The sequence below is a fragment of the Homo sapiens genome, chromosome 12, assembly GCF_000001405.40.
Source record: "Homo sapiens chromosome 12, GRCh38.p14 Primary Assembly".
Lineage (NCBI taxonomy): Eukaryota > Metazoa > Chordata > Mammalia > Primates > Hominidae > Homo > Homo sapiens.
In genome coordinates, this window is record NC_000012.12 from 3074930 (window position 1) to 3092572 (window position 17643).

The following is a 17643-nucleotide window of genomic DNA, read 5'->3' on the forward strand; positions in this document are numbered from 1 at the left end:
CCTCCAGCCTGGGTGGCAGAACAAGTCCCTGTCTCAAAAACAACAAAACAAAACAAAAACCAAAAAGGGCAGGAGGAAGCTAGCATTTGTAGAGCAGTCACCACACATCACATGTTGTGCTTTTACTCCATCATCTTGGTCAGCCCATCAACCCTGTGGAATTGGTTTTTTTTTTTTTTTTTTTTTGAGACAGTCTCGCTCTGTCGACCAGGCTGGAGTGCAGTGGCACGATCTTGGCTCACTGCAACCTCCGTCTCCCAGGCTCAAGCAATTCTCCTGCCTCAGCCCTCCGAGTAGCTGGGATTACAGGCATGTGCCACCACACCCGGCTAATTTTTGTATTTTTAGTGGAGACGGGGTTTCACCATGTTGGCCAGGCTGGTCTCAAACTCCTGATCTCAGGTAATCCACCCGCCTCGGCCTCCCTAAGTACTGGGATTACAGGTGTGAGCCACCATGCCCATCCCCATAATTGGTATTCTTATGCCCCATTCCACAGGTGAGAAAACAGGCCTGAAGAGGTCCCAGCCGATAAAAGCAGAGCCAGGATTCAGACAGGTGTGTCTGGCTCCCAAGCCCTGCGGCTACTCCCTCACCAGGCTGCGTCCAATGGTCTGCCAGTGAGTTGGCTTGCTGGCAGACAATCCTAGTATATCTCTTTCCCTGTCTGAGACCCAGTTTCCTTTTCTGGGTACATGTACCCAACTCTGCCGCAGTGACTGGAGAGATTGGGGCTGGTGGGGGTTCCTTGGGAAGACTTTGTTATAGGGGCATTGAACAGGGCTTTGGATGAAGCAAAATGTAGAAGGAGAATATTTTCCTTGTGGGGAAAGGGAGATCAGAAGGAAATGGGTTATGGGTTTAGTCTAATAGACAAAAACAAGGTTGCATGTGTGTGACGGAAAGGGGCCCAGAAGATGAGTGGAAACTTCCAGTCTAATTAGCAGAAAGCAAAAGTGACCCTAGTGATTATAGCCAGGTTTTAAAAACTTGTCCCCAGTCAAGCTTAGTGCAATGGTAGGGCACGTGGGAAGCACAGCATACAGTTTCTTTAAAATTTAAAAAAATTTCACTTTTAAAGACAGGGTCTCCCTCTACTGCCCAGGCTGGAGTACAGTGGCATGATCCTAGTTTACTGCAGCCTCCAACGCCTGAGCCTCAGCCTCCGGAGCAGCTGGGACTACAGGGGTGTGCCACCACACCCGGTTAATTAAAACATTTTTTTTTTGAGATGGGGTTTCCCTATGTTGCCCAGGCTGTTCTTGAATTCCTGAGTTCCTGAGCTCAAGCAATCCTTCCACCTGGGCCCCCCAAAGTCCTGGGATTACACGCGTGAGCCACCACACCTGGCCTAGAAGACATTTTTGATGACAGTAATGATGAGAAGAGATGGCGTTTTAGTGCTCTTTGGAAACAAGTTTAGGCCTTCTAGCTTTAAGAATCCGGGCCTATAATCCCAGCACTTTGGGAGGCAGAGGCAGGAGGATGGCTTGAGCCCGGGAGTTTGAGACCAGCTTGGGCCCAGGGAGACCACCGTCTGTACAAAAAAAATCAAAAACTTCGCCGGACGTGGTGGTGCGCGCCTACAGTCCCAACTACTCTGGAGGCTGAGGCGGGATCACTTGAGCCCGGGAAGTCGAGGCTGCAGTGAGCCGTGATCGCACCACTGCACTCCTGCCTGGGCAACAGAGTGAGTCCTTGTCTCAAGAAAAAACAAAACAAAACAAAAAGCAAAAAACACATAAAATCCAGGCCTGAAAAAGCGCCCGGGCCAGACATGCCTAGCTGGAGTTTCTCCTGCCTTAGCGCACCCCTCAGGCACACGGTGCCCTGTAGTCGCCCTTGGAGGCCGCCAGCTCCTGGGGAGGCATGGCCCTTTCTGCGGGAGGTGTCTCAGGCAGGCTCCAACACACACCCGCGCTGTCAGCATCTCGCACAGTCCGCCCGAAACACCAGGGAAGGGGTTCGTAGGTGTGGGGGTGGGGTGGCGAGGCCAGGCAGCCTGGCGCGAGGGAGAGAGCCGAGGCCTGGGCCAGGAAGGCCCTTGGGTGCCGTGTGGGCGCAGAGCCCAGGAGAGCGCACTGCCAGGCCCGGACCTCCCCGCCCCTACCCCGGGAAGAGGCCCGTTCGCCGCAGGGGGAAGGCGGGATCATAGCACCTCGGAGGAGCGGCCGGTCCGGGCATGCGGGCGGCGGGGCGGGGAGGGAGGCTTCCGGAACCCCGAGAGAGCACCCGTGCCTCGCGGGCCCCGTGCCCCGTCCCCGGGCTCCCCTTCCTCTAACGCAGGGGACCCAGCCCGGGGCAGTGCCGGGCACTGGCGCTGGCGCCCCGCTCAGCCCTGCGATCCTTCTCCGCCCCGCCCCTCCCCGCTCCGCCCCGCCCCTCCCCGCTCCGCCCCCGGGCCGCCCCGCCCCGCAGGCTCGCCATTCCCGGGCAGGCCCCGCCCCCTGTTTCCGCTGGCGGCGGCGGCGGCGGCGGTGCCGGAGCGCGAGCAGAGCGGAGACCCCCAGGTCCTGCGGGCGCGGTGAGTGCGGCCCGGGCGGCGGGCGGCGAGGCGGGTCTCGAGAGCGTGCGGAGTCGCGCGGCCTTGAGCCGGCGCCGGGCGGGCTGGGCACCCCCAGGCCGAGACCCGAGAAGGGGGAGCGGCCGGGGGCGCCCACGGGAGGCAGTGTGGGCAGGGCGGCGGTGGGACGAGAGGACGAGGAACAGAGTAGGCGCCGTGCGGGAAGCGGGCCGGGAAGGGGAGGGTGGGTGCGGGGCCCGGGCACCGAGCGAAGTGGGGTCCTCCAGGGGATGGCTCCGAGGAAGACCGTTTCAGAAAGGGAGTAACCCGGGGCCGGCAAGGGTTTCCGACTGTGTGACCCCGTGCACCGCTTGGGACAGTCCATACAAGGACCCCAGAGAGGGCCAGGGGGCCTTCGGGCAGGGCTGGGATATGGCCTGCAGCCCCCCGGCACCCGCGACCGCTCCCTGGGCCACTGCTGGAAGATCAGCACTCCGAGTGACAGGACTCTGGCACATCCCGAAGTTGGAGATCTAGCCCATCTGTGCATTCAAGTTTGGGACTTCAAAAAACTTTCTTGTGGTTTTTAAAAAAAGATCCAAACAAGAAACCGGCTTGTTGTTGTAAGAGCAATATTTGTACTTGTACATCTTGGAACTGGAGTCTTGGATCTCCTCCCTCTTTGAAAAATATACGAGTCACTGCTTCATCTTCCCCCAAATGCCTGTTTTGTCTGGGGAAGCTTGGGCTAGTATGGGATCCCCTGAGCTACCTTTTTCTCGCATCACCAAAACGGGGGGTAAGAAGGCAGGGGCTTACCTGCCTTACCTGGTAACTCTTAGTTCAGAGACCCAGTCTCTCATTATGTGCGCGTGCCCTTCTGACCTGCAGCTGTCCTTTTCCCTGGGGTGACTCAGGTATTTCCTCCTCCAGGAAGCTTTCCTGGACTAGTGGAGAAAACTGAAGACTCATGCGAGGATCCCTATATATACCTGCCAGCTCCCTTCTCTTTACTGAAAATAGCCACAGAGAATGTTGAATATATGCTTTGCTATAGAGATACGCAGCCAGCTTGCCATCATAAGTAATGGGGAGGGGAGGAGAGGGATTATGGATAATTTCAAACAATAGCCTGGACAAATCATTTATATTTAGCTAAGGAATGCAGCCAGAGAGGCAGACAATTACACCGGCTTCCTACCCTCGGCTTGGTCCTGGCATGGCTGATGCAGCTGGGCTGTGGGTTGGAGGGAGAGGATTGGGGTAGATAAAACTTGAAGTGTAATTCAGTTCTACTCTCACTCACTGAAGACGCCCTGTGTGCAAGTCCCTGAACAGGTGAGAGTAGGATTTTTTTTTTTTTGGTCTGGTTTAATCAGATTTTAATATTCTGGCAGAGCTTTTTAAACCTATGAACAGATATTTAATATTAATAACAATAACTAGTGTTGATAAAGTAATTTATAGTTGGCCAAGTTTTTTCTATGCACGTTACATTAGCTGTATATAATTTTATTTAATTCATACGTAATCTTGTGAAATTTGTTACTTTTTTTTTTTTTTTTGAGACAGAGTCTCACTCTGTTGCCCAGGCTGGAGTGCAGTGGCAGGATCTCAGCTCACTGCAACCCCCGCGTCCCAGGTTCAAGCCATTCTCCTGCCTCAGCCTCCCGAGTAGCTGGGATTACAGGCGCGTGCCGCCACGCCTTCTAATTTTTGTATTTTTAGTAGAGATGAGGTTTTGCCATGTTGACCAGGCTGGTCTTGAACTCCTGACCTCAAGTGATCCACCTGCCTTGGCCTCCCACAGTGCTGGGATTATAGGCGTGAGCCACCGCATTGGCTGAAGTTTGTTACTTTTAATTGCCTTCTTATAGGTTAAGAAAATGATACTCAGAGAGAATAAGTATCTTATCTAAGGTCACAACACTCATTAAGTGAAAGAAGCAAAACTTGAACCCTGGCTTCTGACCTTCCTGCCTTGTGCCATCTATTCTGCCATCTGCCTCTCTGCCCTTCTTCTATTTTATTTATTTATTTTTTTCTGAGACAGACTTTTGCTTTTGTTGCCCAGGCTGGAGTGCGATGGCACTATCTCGGCTCACTGCAACCTCTGCCTACTGGGTTCAAGTGATTCTCCTGCCTCAACCTCCCAAGTAACTGGGATTACAGGTGCCCGCCACCACACCTGGCTAATTTTTGTATTTTTAGTAGAGATGGAGTTTCGCCATGTTGGCCAGACTGGTCTCAAACTCCTGACCTCAGGTGATCCGCCTGCCTTGGCCTCCCAAAGTGCTGGGATTACAGGCATGAACCACCGTACTTAGCCCCTTCTTCTATTTTTTTTTTTTTTTTTTAGAGACAGGGTCTTGCTTTGTTGCCTGGGCTGGAGCACAGGGACACAAGCAGCTCACTGCAGCCTCCAACTCCTGGGCTCAAGTGATCCTCCCACCTTAGCCTCCCGAGTAGCTGGGACTATAGGTACAGGCCCCATGCTCAGATAATTAAAAAAATTTTTTTTTTTTTTTTGGTAGAGACAGGGTTGTGCTATGTTGCCCAGGCTGGTCTCTGGTCTTGAACTCCTGGCCTCAAGCAATTCTCCTACCTTGGCCTCCCAAAGTGTTGGGATTACAGGCGTGAGCCACCACGCCCAGCCCCTTTCCTCTATGTTGAGCCTTGTCTTCACCTGGCACCACCTATTTGTGCAACCTTGGGCAATTTACCTCCTCTTTCCAACTCTCTGTTTTGGTGGTATATTGGATTAGAAATATTCTAGAGTCTCTTCCAGCATCAGATAATTAACAGTGTAAGATATTGGCAGCCACTCAATCAATTAGGAAGTGTGCTTTATATAAAAAATTCTAAAATTGTGGTTAAAAAAACACTGAATGTAAAATCTTTTTTTTGTTGTTGTTGTTTTTGAGATGGAGTCTCACTCTGTCGCCCAGGCTGGAGTGCAGTGGCATAATCACAGCTCACTGCAACCTCCGCCTCCCGGGTTCAAGCAATTCTCTGCCTCAGCCTCCCCAGTAGCTGGGACTACAGGCGCCCGCCATCACCCTCGGCTAAATTTTGTATTTTTTTTAGTAGAGACGGGGTTTCACCATGTTGGCCAGGCTGGTCTTGAACTCCTGACCTCATGATCCACCCTCCTCGGCCCCAAAAAGTGCTGGGATTACAAGCATGAGCCACCGCGCCTGGCAAATGTAAAATCTTAAGTGTACATTTTAACCATTCTTAAATGTACAGTTCAGTAGCATTAAGTCTATTTACATTGTTGTGCGACAGCTCCAGAAATTACCTTGTAAAACTGAAGCTTTAATATTCTTGAAACAACTGTTTCCCCCTCCTCCCAGCCTCTGGCAGCCACTATTCTGTCTGTTTAGTGTGCTTTATTAAGCTCCTGCTGTGTGCTTAGTAAATGCTGACCTTGAGGAATTAATCGGGAGAGTTGTGGAGAAGCAGCCCAGCTTAGGTGGGAAGCCCTTGAACCTGGGGTGGCTGGAGGGAGTGCCCCCTTTTCGCAGGCCTGTAACCCCAGGGCCAGCCAGCACTGTTAAGTGAATGAGTGAGTGGGTTGGGACTTGGGCGGATGCCTTCACCTCCTTTAGTCTCAGCTCCTTGCTTGCAAAATGAGGATAACAATACCAAGTACTCAGGGTGTTGGGAAGGAGCCATGAGCTGATGTATGTGAGGCACGTAGCTCAGGGCCTCATATACAGCAGGTGTGCAGTAAACGGTGGCTGTTATTTATAACCTCGTGGAGGAGACTGGACTAAGATGCTTGGAACAAGAGAGGACAAGACTTCTTTTCTCTGCCGTGAGGGCCCAGCCTGCAGTGGTTGTCATCCTCACTGACTAAGAGGGAGTGGATCTAATCCCGGTGCATTCGCCTGGCATTCAGCATCCTGCCTGTCTAGCCTTATCGCCACTCTCCTCCCTCCTGGAACCCTTGGTTCTAGCCAGACTTATCTCCCAAGCATGCTTTGCGCGTTCCTTCTTGGCCCCTTAGTTCATCCTCTTCCACCTTCCTGGTTGGTTCTTCCATCCCTCTCCTCTTTCAAGACCTTTCTCATGTCTGAGCTCCTCTCAAGACCCTGGCATCCCATCCCAAATGAACCTCTTTTTCCTGGGAACCCCGGTGGCATTTTCTGTCTTCATTTTGCTCCTGGCCTTTATATACTTCCTTGGGTGGTTCTCTAGTGAACTCCACAAACAGTGTATGTGTCACATGTATAAGAGTCTGTGCTGGGCTGGATGCGGTGCCTCACATCTGTAATCCCAGTATTTTGGGAAGCTGATGTGGGAGGATCACTTGAGCCCAGGGATTTGAGACCACCCTGGGCAACATAGTGAGGCCTCTGTATCTAAAAAATTGTGTGTGTGTGTGTGTGTGTGTGTGTCTGTGTGTGTATATATATGCCAGGTGTGGTGGTACACACCTGTGGACCTATGGTCCCAGCTGGAGGTGGAAGGATCGCTTGAGTTCAGGAGTTCGAGGCTTCAGTGAGCCATGATTGTGTCACTGCACTCCAGGCTGAGTAACAGAGCGAGAATTCTGTCTCTTAAAAAAAAAAGTCTGTGCTAAGTTCTGATGCTGCAAAAATAAAAAAGATAAACGTCCTTATCTTCATGGGGCTTATAAGCCAGTAAAGAGTTGAGAAATGGGCTCGAAAGATGACAGTTCAAAGGACAAGGCGAATGGCTTCTGAGAGCAGAATGTTATGTGGGTTGAAACAGTTCAGTCACCTTGATTGAGGAGCACCATTGCATGCAGCAAGTGGTGGTGGACATGAACCCCGGAGGGGAGCTTGCATTTCAACAGAAGGAGGAAGGATCAGCCTGGGGCTAGGCACTGAGAAAGTTGAATGGTGCTTGTGAATGGTGCAGGTGGGCCAGGTGTGGCATGTGTGCAGGGAAGCCATGGAGGAGAGGTTGGGCAGGTAGACAACAGCTGTATTGTGTGTGGCCTTCAAATCACCAGCCAAGAACTTTATCTGTCCATTCATTCTTCCAAGAGAACTTGAGTGCCCACCGTGTGCCAGCATTAAACTGGTGCTGTGGAGATAGCCATCAACCTTGGGAGGCCCTGGGAAGTTTGCAGGTTTTGAGCAAGGGTAAGAGAAGCAGGGCTGGGCTTAAGGAGGGTGAATCTGAGGTCTGTGAAGAGGGGACGTCATGGTAGGGAGAGTGGCTGGGCACTTGTGAGGGATGGTGAGGAGGCAATGAACCTGAGACATTTTGGAAGTAGGATCAGGATCATTTGTAACTTGATTGGATGGGGAGGTGAGGAAAGGATGAAGTTGAAGGGGGATTGAAGCTGATTCTGTGCTGGGTGATTGTGAAAATGCAATGCCATTTGCTGTTTCCGGTAGGCATTGTTTCGTCAACTAGATTGCAAGCCCCTTCAGGGCATGGATTCTAATTCCCTCTGATGTTCTCCTTGACCCTGAAATCACTGCTGTGAGGCACAGAACAGAGTAGGCACAGTGGACCCCTCACGATCTCAAGAAATGAAGCTTGCACTTTCTGGCATCCCAAATTTGTATCCACAGCAATATTTGTTCATGGGCCTGGCTTTCTCCGGAGTCATGTTTCTGCAGAGTCAAATGTTTCCTGTATATATCCTCACACCCCAAGTTAACTGCCCTTTCAGTTTCTGCTGCAGTTTTATTTCTCACTTGATGGCCATTTTCCACCAAGTTTTTATTGCTCCATAAGAGTAACTTTGAATGTGGTAGAGATGAAAACAACAAGGTGGCCCTTTCCTTTATATTGACCTCATAGCGTACGCGATGCAAACACATCTCAGTGAGTTTACACACTTTTACATATCTTGAAACTTTGGGTCACTTGTGAGTGGCCAAAATTGTAATATTAAATCCTTGGATGACAAAGGTCTACCCCAGGGATGACAAATACATGGTGAGGATTCTGTTACTTCTGTAACTGCCCGTGGCAGACATCACTAATCAATCGCAGCTGTCTTTTCTGCTGGGCCAGGGCTTGGGTTCTGCTCATAATGCCTTGGGTACCCACCGCCAACTGAGTGGCATTAGCACACTGCCTTCCTGTTTGCCATTTCTGGCTTTCTCCATTTGTTGAGTGAGCAGTTTCTTGGTAGGGGACTGCTGCCCCAAAGAGTGGTCCTTGATGGACAGAATTCACCCTGGAGTGGCTTCTTACCAAAGTGATGACCTAATTTTTTGCCTTCCTGCAGGAATATCCTGGAACCTTCTTTTGTTTGTCAGCAGCCAAGGTGTTTCCAGGAAGTTCAGAGAGAACAGGTCAGTGTTGGTCCGGGTCCATTGTGGGGTAGGGCCTCTGAACGTCTGTGTGTTATAACCTCTGTCTGAAGTCAAGGTCTTTCTTGCCCTTTAACTGTGGGTTGGGCAGGATAGAAGAGGATGCTGACATTTTCTAGTTGTCGTGCCCTGACTCCTGGCTTTGATTTTCTAAGCTCCTTAAATTGGGCTTTGGGGGCCAGGCAAGAATGATCTCCTCCCCACTGTTTCTGATTGGTGGCTGATGGTACTCTTAGATTCTTTCTTGGCCACCCCATTTGTGTGGAGGAAGCCTAGGGAGAGGCCTGTAACTTCCTGCTTCCTGTCTCCTCCCAGCAGGCTTGGGAGCCAGGGTGGAGGGGCCTCCCACAACAGGCCAGAAGAGAAGATGCAGGAGTCCTGGCCAGTCCTTAGTGTCTCCATTTTGCTCTGCCCACCGCCCTCCACCAGGACCCCTACGGGGCCCTCTTCCCTGATCCTCCAGGCTCCTGGGGGTCTTGCTGATGGTTTGTTCATTGTTCCTAGCACTTGTGCATCGAGGCCTCCGCTGTGCCAGACTACAGACCAGGCAGCCAGACAGTGGGGGTGGACGGTGCTGATTCAGGTTCCCTTGGGGTGCTGTTTACTGACCTGGGCCTTTTTATGTTTAATTTATGTGTGTTTTCTCCTGCGGCTTCTCCCTGCTGGGTGATTTGTAAAATCTTACCTTCCCTGAACCCAATGGTGTAGTCGGTGGAGCAGGGAGAGGGGGTGGAATGGTGCTGGCTGGTGGCTCATCTTGCCAAAGATTCTCTTGTCTGTGAGTTCCAGCAGGGATTATTTGGTGTCCCAAGAGTGGCCAGGAACCTCTTATTGTCCTGCCATGCCTTGCACGTTATACTTAGGATGCCAGTATTCATATTTGTCATCATGATCAGACTCAGTTTTAGACCCTTTACAAATGTCCACAACCAATTTAACTTAATCAGATGAAGTTATAATTTAAATCTCATTTAACTTTCACAAAGGCCCCGTGGGGTAGCTGTCATGTCCTCCTCCTTTACCAGCGGCAGCAGGTAAGGCCCACATAGTGTTAGCCGGAGCAGGGGCTCCAGCCCAGATGCTATGACCCTGCAGCGCCTGCCTTTTCTAATGCAGACCTGCGGCTGTTCTTAACTGACTCTGGGAATCCGCTCCAGGTCCCTCCCTGAGCCTGCTTGTGGCAGGAATGCCTGAGCTCCCATTTTAAGTCCTCCTCCCGCCTCCCTGGGGCCCGGATGGGTGTCTGCTTTCATTCTTGCAGCTCTGGGATTTGAGGCACCGCGTATCACTGGATGGTGCAGTGCCGCTAGGCACATGGGCTTGGGTGGAGGAAAATCAGTCTGGTGAAGATCAGGCAGTAACCGTCCAGGTGCAGTGGCTCACGCCTGGAATCCCTGTGCTTTGGGAGGCTGAGGCAGGAGTTCAAGACTAGACTGGGCAATATAGTGAAACTTTGTCCCTATTAAAAAAAAAAAAAGACCGGGCGGCAGAGAGGGAAGGACTTAAGGACAAGGGAATGACCGTCCTGCTGTGCGGCATGTCCCCCACATCCCGTGGGGCCTGTTCCTGGTGGGCCCTGCCAGACAGAACTTGGTGAAGGGCTCCCCAGGAGGCCTGTATGGCCTTGGGGAGACACAGATAGCCCCTGACGTCACCAGCCGTGTCTATCTAGATGACCGTCTTTCCTCTGTGCATCTGCGTTGAAACCCAAGTGAGGGAGATGTGAGTGGAGGCCTCAGCAGACAGGACGTTGATCCTCTCTGATGGCTGTGGCTCCAGGGGGCTTTGGTTTTGCATTTCTCGTCATGCTCTGGAGCCATGCTCTGGGATGTTGACCAGCTCTGGGGTGGGAGGTTCTTGTCCTGGCTCCTGCTCCTACCTGTAACTGCTGTGCGAACTTGGGCAAGTCGATTGGCTTCTTCAGGCCATTTTCCTCACCTACAAAGCGGCAGGTTGGGTGACCCACTGCCAAGGTTCTTTCTGGCTCTGCTGGAGGTGGTTTCTGAGGTGGGATGAGTTGGTATGCCTGGGTTTTGGCTTCCAGTCCTGGGCCTGCCTTCTGCCTCTGACTAGTGCCTTCCCGGCCTCTGACCTGGAGGTGGATGGAGGAGGAAAGAGTGAAGTTAATGAGTAAACTGGAGATGCTGACTTCTGATAGGAGCGGACTGGGGGTGGAAGTTGTTTGCGGAGATGGTCCCCTGCCCCGTGAGTGGCGAGTGGCGGGGTCCTACTGCCTGACTTCTGTCCTGTGTAGACGGCTCTGCTGTTGATTTGGTTTAAACTCTCTTCTTCGTGCCCGTGCCTGAGGCAGTGAGGAGTAAGCCTCCATTGCTGGACTCCAGCCCTGCATGTTAATCATTTCAACTTCAATCATAGCCACAGCATAACGAAATGAGAATATCTGCCTGGAGCAGGTTAGCTTCCAAACTCTCTCCTTGCTCTCAAACCAAAAGTGTAACCAGAATTTTAGCCTGAACCAGGAGGGTGCTCTTCAGAATGGGAAGGAGATAGAAGAACCCCTTTGCTGGCATCTGGAGTTGGGAGCACGATCCTATCTGCATTTCAACCCGATACTTTGGAGCCAAATGTAGATTTTTTTTTTTTTTTGGCCTATTGTTTAGTATTATCTGTGCTTTGATTTACCACACCCCTTCCGCCCTCTGTTTTCTCTCAGGCTCCCTCACAGTGGATGGCTGGAAATTGATGATACTTTGAATATTCACTCACTTTCTGAGAGTCTTGTGACCATTTCTACTCTCAATGGTCATCATTTTTAGAACATCTGATCTTGTGTTAGGAACAGGAAAAGATCTGGTAGAGAGCAGTCCAGGGGGTCCGAAGAGTCAGGAAGCTCAGTAAGTGCCCCCTGAAATCCTCCCACCTGCTGGAGAGGCTTTGCTGTTATTGCAGGAAGGCTGGAGGGTCTTGTGGCCTTTGGGGTACAGGATCTTGGTGAGGCCTTGGCCTTGGCCTTAGTAGCTTAGGATTGCTGCTAACTCTCACAGCACGTTTGTGCGAAATTTGAAAAATGGCCCTTCTTCAGGTTACAAGCAAAAATTAAAGTGAATATATTATTGTACAGCTGGAACAAGGTCCAACTGTGTCTGAGGCAACCCCCTTGAGCCCTCGTGGGCAGTGACCCTGGCTGTGCGCACACTTGGAGGCACGCCGCCTCCAATCATGGGGTGCACATGTTGCTGGAAACACACACAGTCTGGTCCCTCCCCTTGCAATGTGGGGAATGTGTCAGGTTCAGAGTCAGGGAGAGGGCCTCTGAGGACAGTGAACAGGTGAGGGAAGTGAGCTGGGGTGGGAGGGATTCTCAGAGCAAGATTGAAACAGGGTGCAGCCATGCACATGTGTGGGTGTTAGTGACTATGTGCACACTTGCCTTACATGTGTGTTGGGTGTGCTTGCATGGGTTTGTGTGGGAGGGCACTCTGCATTGTTTTGGCACTCAGTGGAGGGGCCCACGTGTGCACTCTCAATAGATCAGTATAGGCCAGACACAGTGGCTGTCATCTGTAGGCCCAGCACTTTCGGAGGCCAAGGCGGGAGCATTGCTTGAGACCAGCCTGGACAACATAGTGAGACCTCGTCTCTAATAAGAATAGAAAAAAAAATTAGTCAGGTGTGGTAATCAGTGTGTGCCTGTAGTCCCAGCTACTCAGGAGGCTGAGGCAGGAGGATTGCTTAAGCCCAGAAAGTTGAGGCTGTAGTGAGCCATGATCGTACCACTGCACTCCGGGCTGGGTGACAGAGTGAGACCCTGTCTCAAGAAGAAAAGGGTCCGGGCATGGTGACTCACACCTGTAATGCCAGCGCTTTGGAAAGCCAAGGCAGGCAAATCATGAGGTCGAGAGTTCGAGATCAGCTTGGCCAACATGGTGAAACCCCATCTCTACTAAAAATACAAAAATTAGCCGGGCTTGGTGGTGCGCACCTGTAATACCAGATACTCGGGAGGCTGAGGCAGGAGAATTGCTTGAATCTGGGAGGCGGAGGTTGCAGTGAGCCAATATTGGCCACTGCACTCCAGCCTGGGCAACAGAGCCAAGACTCCATCTTGGAAAAAAAAAAATGTCAGTATATACCTGTGATGTGAGTGCCTTCCCCTTAGATGGCAGGGTAAAACCTGGACACGGTACCTGGGAACCCTGCTGACGGCCTCTCCCCTGGCCACCTGCCAGTGTGGAGACTGAGGCTTAGGGGCCCAAAGCTCTCCGACAAGCCCTGAGGGTGGCAGTGCCAGGGACAGTAGGAGAAGATCCTGCCTCAGCAAGTCCCCAGCCCCGTCTCAGGGCCAGGCTCTACAGGAGGGCTCAGAGGGGCAGGGTGCCCAGCTGAGTTTGAATGAACTGTGTCTTTCCGGGTGTGTGAACATGCAGGATGACATGTTTTGTTTTAGAGAAAATGAGGTAGAGGTCTGGGCTTGCAATTTTCCACTTGTCTTAATCCTGGGAGATTCTAAACAGCTTTGTTTAAAAACTGGACATGCAGATTGCAAAGACCTGAGTGAGGAAGAGCCATTGGGTCCCCCAGGAAAACAATTAGGTTTGAAGCCAGAGTTTGGATTTGTTCGACCATTTTGAGTGCTGTCTGCAGCATGTGGGACCTGGAGGCGCTTACAGCATCACCCATGGTGTGAGTCACTCCAAATTAGCAGCCATTTCAAATTGGCTTCCACTGACTTGCTGCTGGGGATGGGTGGGGCTGGGGGGGAAGCTCCAGGCCTGGCTGTCACCCATCATCCAGGCTGTGGCCGGCAGAGAGGGGAGGGGGCTGGAACAACCTGTCTTGGCTCAGCCTGCCCCCACTGTTGGCCAGAGAAGCTGGAGCTGGTGGTCTGTGAAGGTCTCCTGGACGGAGCAGTTCGTGCCCGCAGTGCAGGGAGAACACTGGAGACCATGCAATTCAGGGCAGGGTTGGTGGAACTTTTTCTTGGCATCCATTTGAGAAACTCAGAGGGGATCAGGCTGGGCCTTGAGGGAGGGCTGGGATTTAGGGAGGGAAGAGAAGGGTCTCTGAGGGGTTGTAATGCTGGCTGGGAGCTTGGTTGGGGTGGGGACAGGTGTGGCCTGCAGGAGAGGGTGAGCTGTTCTGTCTGGGGCACCTGACATACTGCTTGGAGCAGCTCAGGCGCGGGAGGCTGGTGGTGGGAGCCAGTGTTGGTCTTTGAACAGTGGAATGACAGGATGAAAAGGGACACTATAGGCTGGGTGTGATGGCTCACGCCTGTAATCCCAGCACTTTGGGAGGCCGATGCAGGCGGATCACGAGGTCAGGAGATCGAGATCATCCTGGCTAACACGGTGAAACCCCATCTGTACTAAAAATGCAAAAAATTAGCCGGGCGTGGTGGCGGGCGCCTGTAGTCCCAGCCACTCGGGAGGCTGAGGCAGGAGAATGGCATGAACCTGGGAGGTGGAGCTTGCAGTGAGCTGAGATCGCGCCACTGCACTCCAGCCTGGGTGACAGAGCGAGACTCCATCTCAAAAAAGAAAAAAAAAAAGAAAAGGGACATTATAGGAAAAATTAGATTGTAGCAGAATTCAAGGTGAATTTTTTTTTTTTTTTTGAGACAAGTCTTGTTCTGTCCCCCAGGCTGGAGTGCAGTGGCGTGATCTTGGCTCACTGCAACCTCCCACTCCCTAGTTCAAGCGATTCTCCTGCCTCAGCCTCCCGAGTAGCTGGGATTACAGGCATGTGCCACCACGCCTGGCTAATTTTTGTATTTTTAGTAGAGACGGGGTTTTACCGTGTTGGCCAGGGTGGTCTCGATCTCCTGACCTCGTGATCCGCCCTCCTTGGCCTCCCAAAGTGCTGGGATTACAGGTGTGAGCCACTGCGCCTGGTCTCAAGGTGAATTTTTTTTTAAAAAGCATCCTTTTGGCTGGGTGTGGTAGCTTATGCCTGTACTCCCAGCACTCTGGGGGGCCGAGGTGGGAGGATCAGTTGAGCTCAGGAGTTTGAGACCAGCCTGGGCAACATAGCAAGATCCTGACTCTACAAAAAATTAAAAAACGTAGCCAGGCATGCATACCTGTAGTCCCAGCCACTCGGGAGGCTGAGGTGGGAGGGTTGCCTGATCCCAGGAGTTTGAGGCTACAGTGAGCTGTGATCACGCCGCTGTACTCCAGCCTGGGCAACAGAGTGAGATCCTGTCTCAAAATAAATAAATAAATAAATAAAATAAAAGCATCCTTTTTTTTGTTGCAAAATAATAAAAACTCATTATAATATCCAAACATTACATAAATTATAGAAGAGGAAAATCTCCCCTAATCCTACCCATCAGAGATAATCACTGTTAATACTTTGGTTTGTATTATTTCCAGATATTTCTGGATAGACTAGCATCCAGCCGTCCACCTATTTATCTTCTCAATTTCCATAAATAGAATTGAATTCAACTTACTGTTTTGCCCGTTCTTTAGGCATCTTTTCACATCAGTACATTCAGAACAACCTTATTCTTTTCCGTAGTTGGCGCAGACTTGCTGAATGGATTTTGTTCCATTCATCACTGAGGTCTATGCTGCATAGACCACCCCAAAATATAGTGGATTAACACAAACACCATTTTCTTTGCTTCCAGTTCTACGGGTTAGCCTTTTGGGCTGGTCTCTGCAGTCTTGCCTGGGCTTATTAATGCGGTAGCAGTCAGCTGGTAGCTCTGCAGGCCCTGGACAGCTCAAGGAAGCTTCATCATATATCCGGTGGTTGGTGCTGGCTGTCAGCTGGGCTCCCCTGCTACGTGGTTTCTCACTGTCAAGGAAACTAGCCTTTCAGGTGAAAACAGTCTACAAGACCTCTTAATATCTAGGCCCTGAAGCCTCACACACGCATTGTCTGTTGATTGCTGGTAACAGCAAGTCATGGGACCAGCAGAACTCCAGGGGCGGGCAGACTCCACCTCTTGGTGGGAAGGCTGGCCACGGCACAAGGAGGGTATGTGTGTTCCAGGTGGGGAGGACGCGGACGTGCGATCCCTCCCTGTGCCCAGAAGCATGAGGAATAGACCCCACAGGTAATGAGGAATAATGAGGAATAGACCGCAGAGATAATGAGGAATAGACCCCACCGATCTTTGGAAGATAGTGCAGACCCCTTCTCCTCCCAGATCACTGTTCATCCCCAGATGGGTCATCCAGGGAAACTGGCAAACACTCGATCTTCATGTTGGGTGTCCTTTGAAGTGGAGTCAGTGTGTTGTGTGTGTGCACGCGGCTAGCGCTGGCAGAGGCTTGGACTTTGTAGTAGACAGTGTCTCCTGCCCTATGGCTCTGAGAGCTGTAGAAGTCAAACCTTCCTGCCCTCTGCAAGCTGCCAAGAGCTTGTCTTCTTGGTACTCCCTGCTGATTTTCATGGCATCTCTGAAAAATGTGTCAGTGAGCGACAGGTCTTTAACAAAGCTAGTCCGGCCTTCCAGGCCCAGGCGTCTGCTGGGATTTTATTCATTCATTTGCCAACCACTACGCTCCAGGCTTCCTCCGCATCCGCTCATAACCTCGGATATGAAATAAGAGGGCCCAGGCCTATGTGATTCACAGACTTCACTTTTCCTTCTCAAGCAACTCACAATGGACTCGACACCGTGACTTCCCGCAAGGTGTTCGTTTTTATATTTAGTTTTCTCATCACCTGCCTTAGTGGCTGTTCCCTTCCTGTGAAATGTCACCAATGGCAGGGAGGCAGGAGGAGGCAGGGGAAGAGCCAGTGATGGGTCATTAATGCATCCCCAAACCCCAGCTTAGAGGATGCTACAGTGGAGCTGCTGGTGGAAGAGTTCTCCCCAGCACCAATCATTCATCAAACTTACCTCTCCCTGGAGATCCGAGGCTGGACCTGATGAAATGCACTTTCTCGTGCAGCAGTGTTCTTTTGCCTGTCAACTGCTGGGTGGTTTTTGCATTCATCAAATAAGAACAAAGGCAGAGTGGGCTTAACGCGTTTGAAATCCCCTTGGTGTTTTATTGTCTCCCTGCTCCCCCTCAGCAGCTTTTAGTAAAGAAATGTTTTGTAGCTGAAAAAGGTTCACTGTGAAAGCATTCTGCACCTCCACAACTCCGCCTCTGGCCTGGCCTCTTCAACTGTGCTGTGGGAGAGGAGTTGCTGAAGACTGTGTTGGAGGAGGGAGTATGGCCTAGCACTGCAGCACCCTTGGGAGCTCCCAGTGCCTCTGGGTGACTTGGGGGTGCCAGCATTGTGCTCCTGTTGCAGGGTTAATGAGCTGATCAGCTCACAGGTTTTATATTAATCAGTGCTCAGTGTTGACAAAAACATGCAATGCTGACTGTGCAAACCTTTGAGAAATCTGGCATCACGGACAAGAAAAGAAACCTCAGCAACTGCTTTTGGCCATAGAATTGGAAAAAACTGGATAGAGCTCCTCAGCCTGCTCCAACTGAGGGCTCGCTAGCTTGAGGCCTGTAGCAGGTAAATTCCCCAGAAGCGGAGACCTGCCAGGCCCTCCCTGACTCCTTAGTTCTCTGCTCAGGTCCCCACTCCACCCCTCCGTTACTTGTTCTCCATGGCTGTGAGGATGGATTCAAGTCATACTGTCAGTGAATCAGTAAGTCGTTACTGTGTGCTTTGATTCCTCAAGGGTCTGAGGCATCTTTTGGCCCAGGTGCTCCGTGTGATAAGAGAGCTTTAGCCAAGTGTAAAGTTAGGTCAGTCCCCAGCTCTTTCTGCTCATGGCTACAAATGTCTATTTCTGTTTTACCCAGTTCCCTCATAGTTCCCGAGGGCCCAGTCCTGCAGCACCTATAACACCCAGGAGTGGGCTCTGAAGGCAGCAAGACAAGTAGGAAGGGATAAGATTGCTACAGA

The 17643-nt window shown here is 51.5% G+C and overlaps 1 protein-coding gene across 6 annotated transcripts in view, besides 5 other annotated features; it reads left to right on the top strand.

Annotated features, from left to right (window-relative positions):
• Positions 1956 to 2005: a silencer, noted in NCBI's record as "silent region_4138". NCBI's record gives its function as "represses an Ori minimal core promoter by ATAC-STARR-seq in GM12878 lymphoblastoid cells {active_cell/tissue: GM12878}" and the evidence as "EXISTENCE:reporter gene assay evidence [ECO:0000049][PMID:35858748]".
• Positions 2056 to 2555: a silencer, noted in NCBI's record as "silent region_4139". NCBI's record gives its function as "represses an Ori minimal core promoter by ATAC-STARR-seq in GM12878 lymphoblastoid cells {active_cell/tissue: GM12878}" and the evidence as "EXISTENCE:reporter gene assay evidence [ECO:0000049][PMID:35858748]".
• TSPAN9 (tetraspanin 9) overlaps positions 2450 to 17643 on the top strand; it is a 209181-nt gene continuing 193987 nt past the window's right edge. For 5 of the 6 annotated variants that reach the window (XM_047428125.1, XM_047428128.1, XM_047428127.1 and 2 more), the window contains exons 1-2: positions 2450 to 2524; positions 8724 to 8790. The gene's annotated coding sequence lies outside the window, so the exon portion shown is untranslated. The remainder of the gene's footprint in view (positions 2525 to 8723; positions 8791 to 17643) is intronic. The other variant, NM_001168320.2, reaches the window with a different exon arrangement.
• Positions 8747 to 9422: an enhancer, noted in NCBI's record as "H3K27ac-H3K4me1 hESC enhancer chr12:3192842-3193517 (GRCh37/hg19 assembly coordinates)". NCBI's record gives its function as "activates a minimal SCP1, AML or CMV promoter by ChIP-STARR-seq in naive H9 embryonic stem cells {active_cell/tissue: H9 hESC(naive)}" and the evidence as "EXISTENCE:reporter gene assay evidence [ECO:0000049][PMID:30033119]".
• Positions 9423 to 10097: an enhancer, noted in NCBI's record as "H3K27ac-H3K4me1 hESC enhancer chr12:3193518-3194192 (GRCh37/hg19 assembly coordinates)". NCBI's record gives its function as "activates a minimal SCP1, AML or CMV promoter by ChIP-STARR-seq in naive and primed H9 embryonic stem cells {active_cell/tissue: H9 hESC(naive and primed)}" and the evidence as "EXISTENCE:reporter gene assay evidence [ECO:0000049][PMID:30033119]".
• Positions 10814 to 11108: an enhancer, noted in NCBI's record as "tiled region #10584; HepG2 Activating DNase matched - State 5:Enh". NCBI's record gives its function as "activates a minimal TATA promoter and a strong SV40 promoter by Sharpr-MPRA in HepG2 cells {active_cell/tissue: HepG2}" and the evidence as "EXISTENCE:reporter gene assay evidence [ECO:0000049][PMID:27701403]".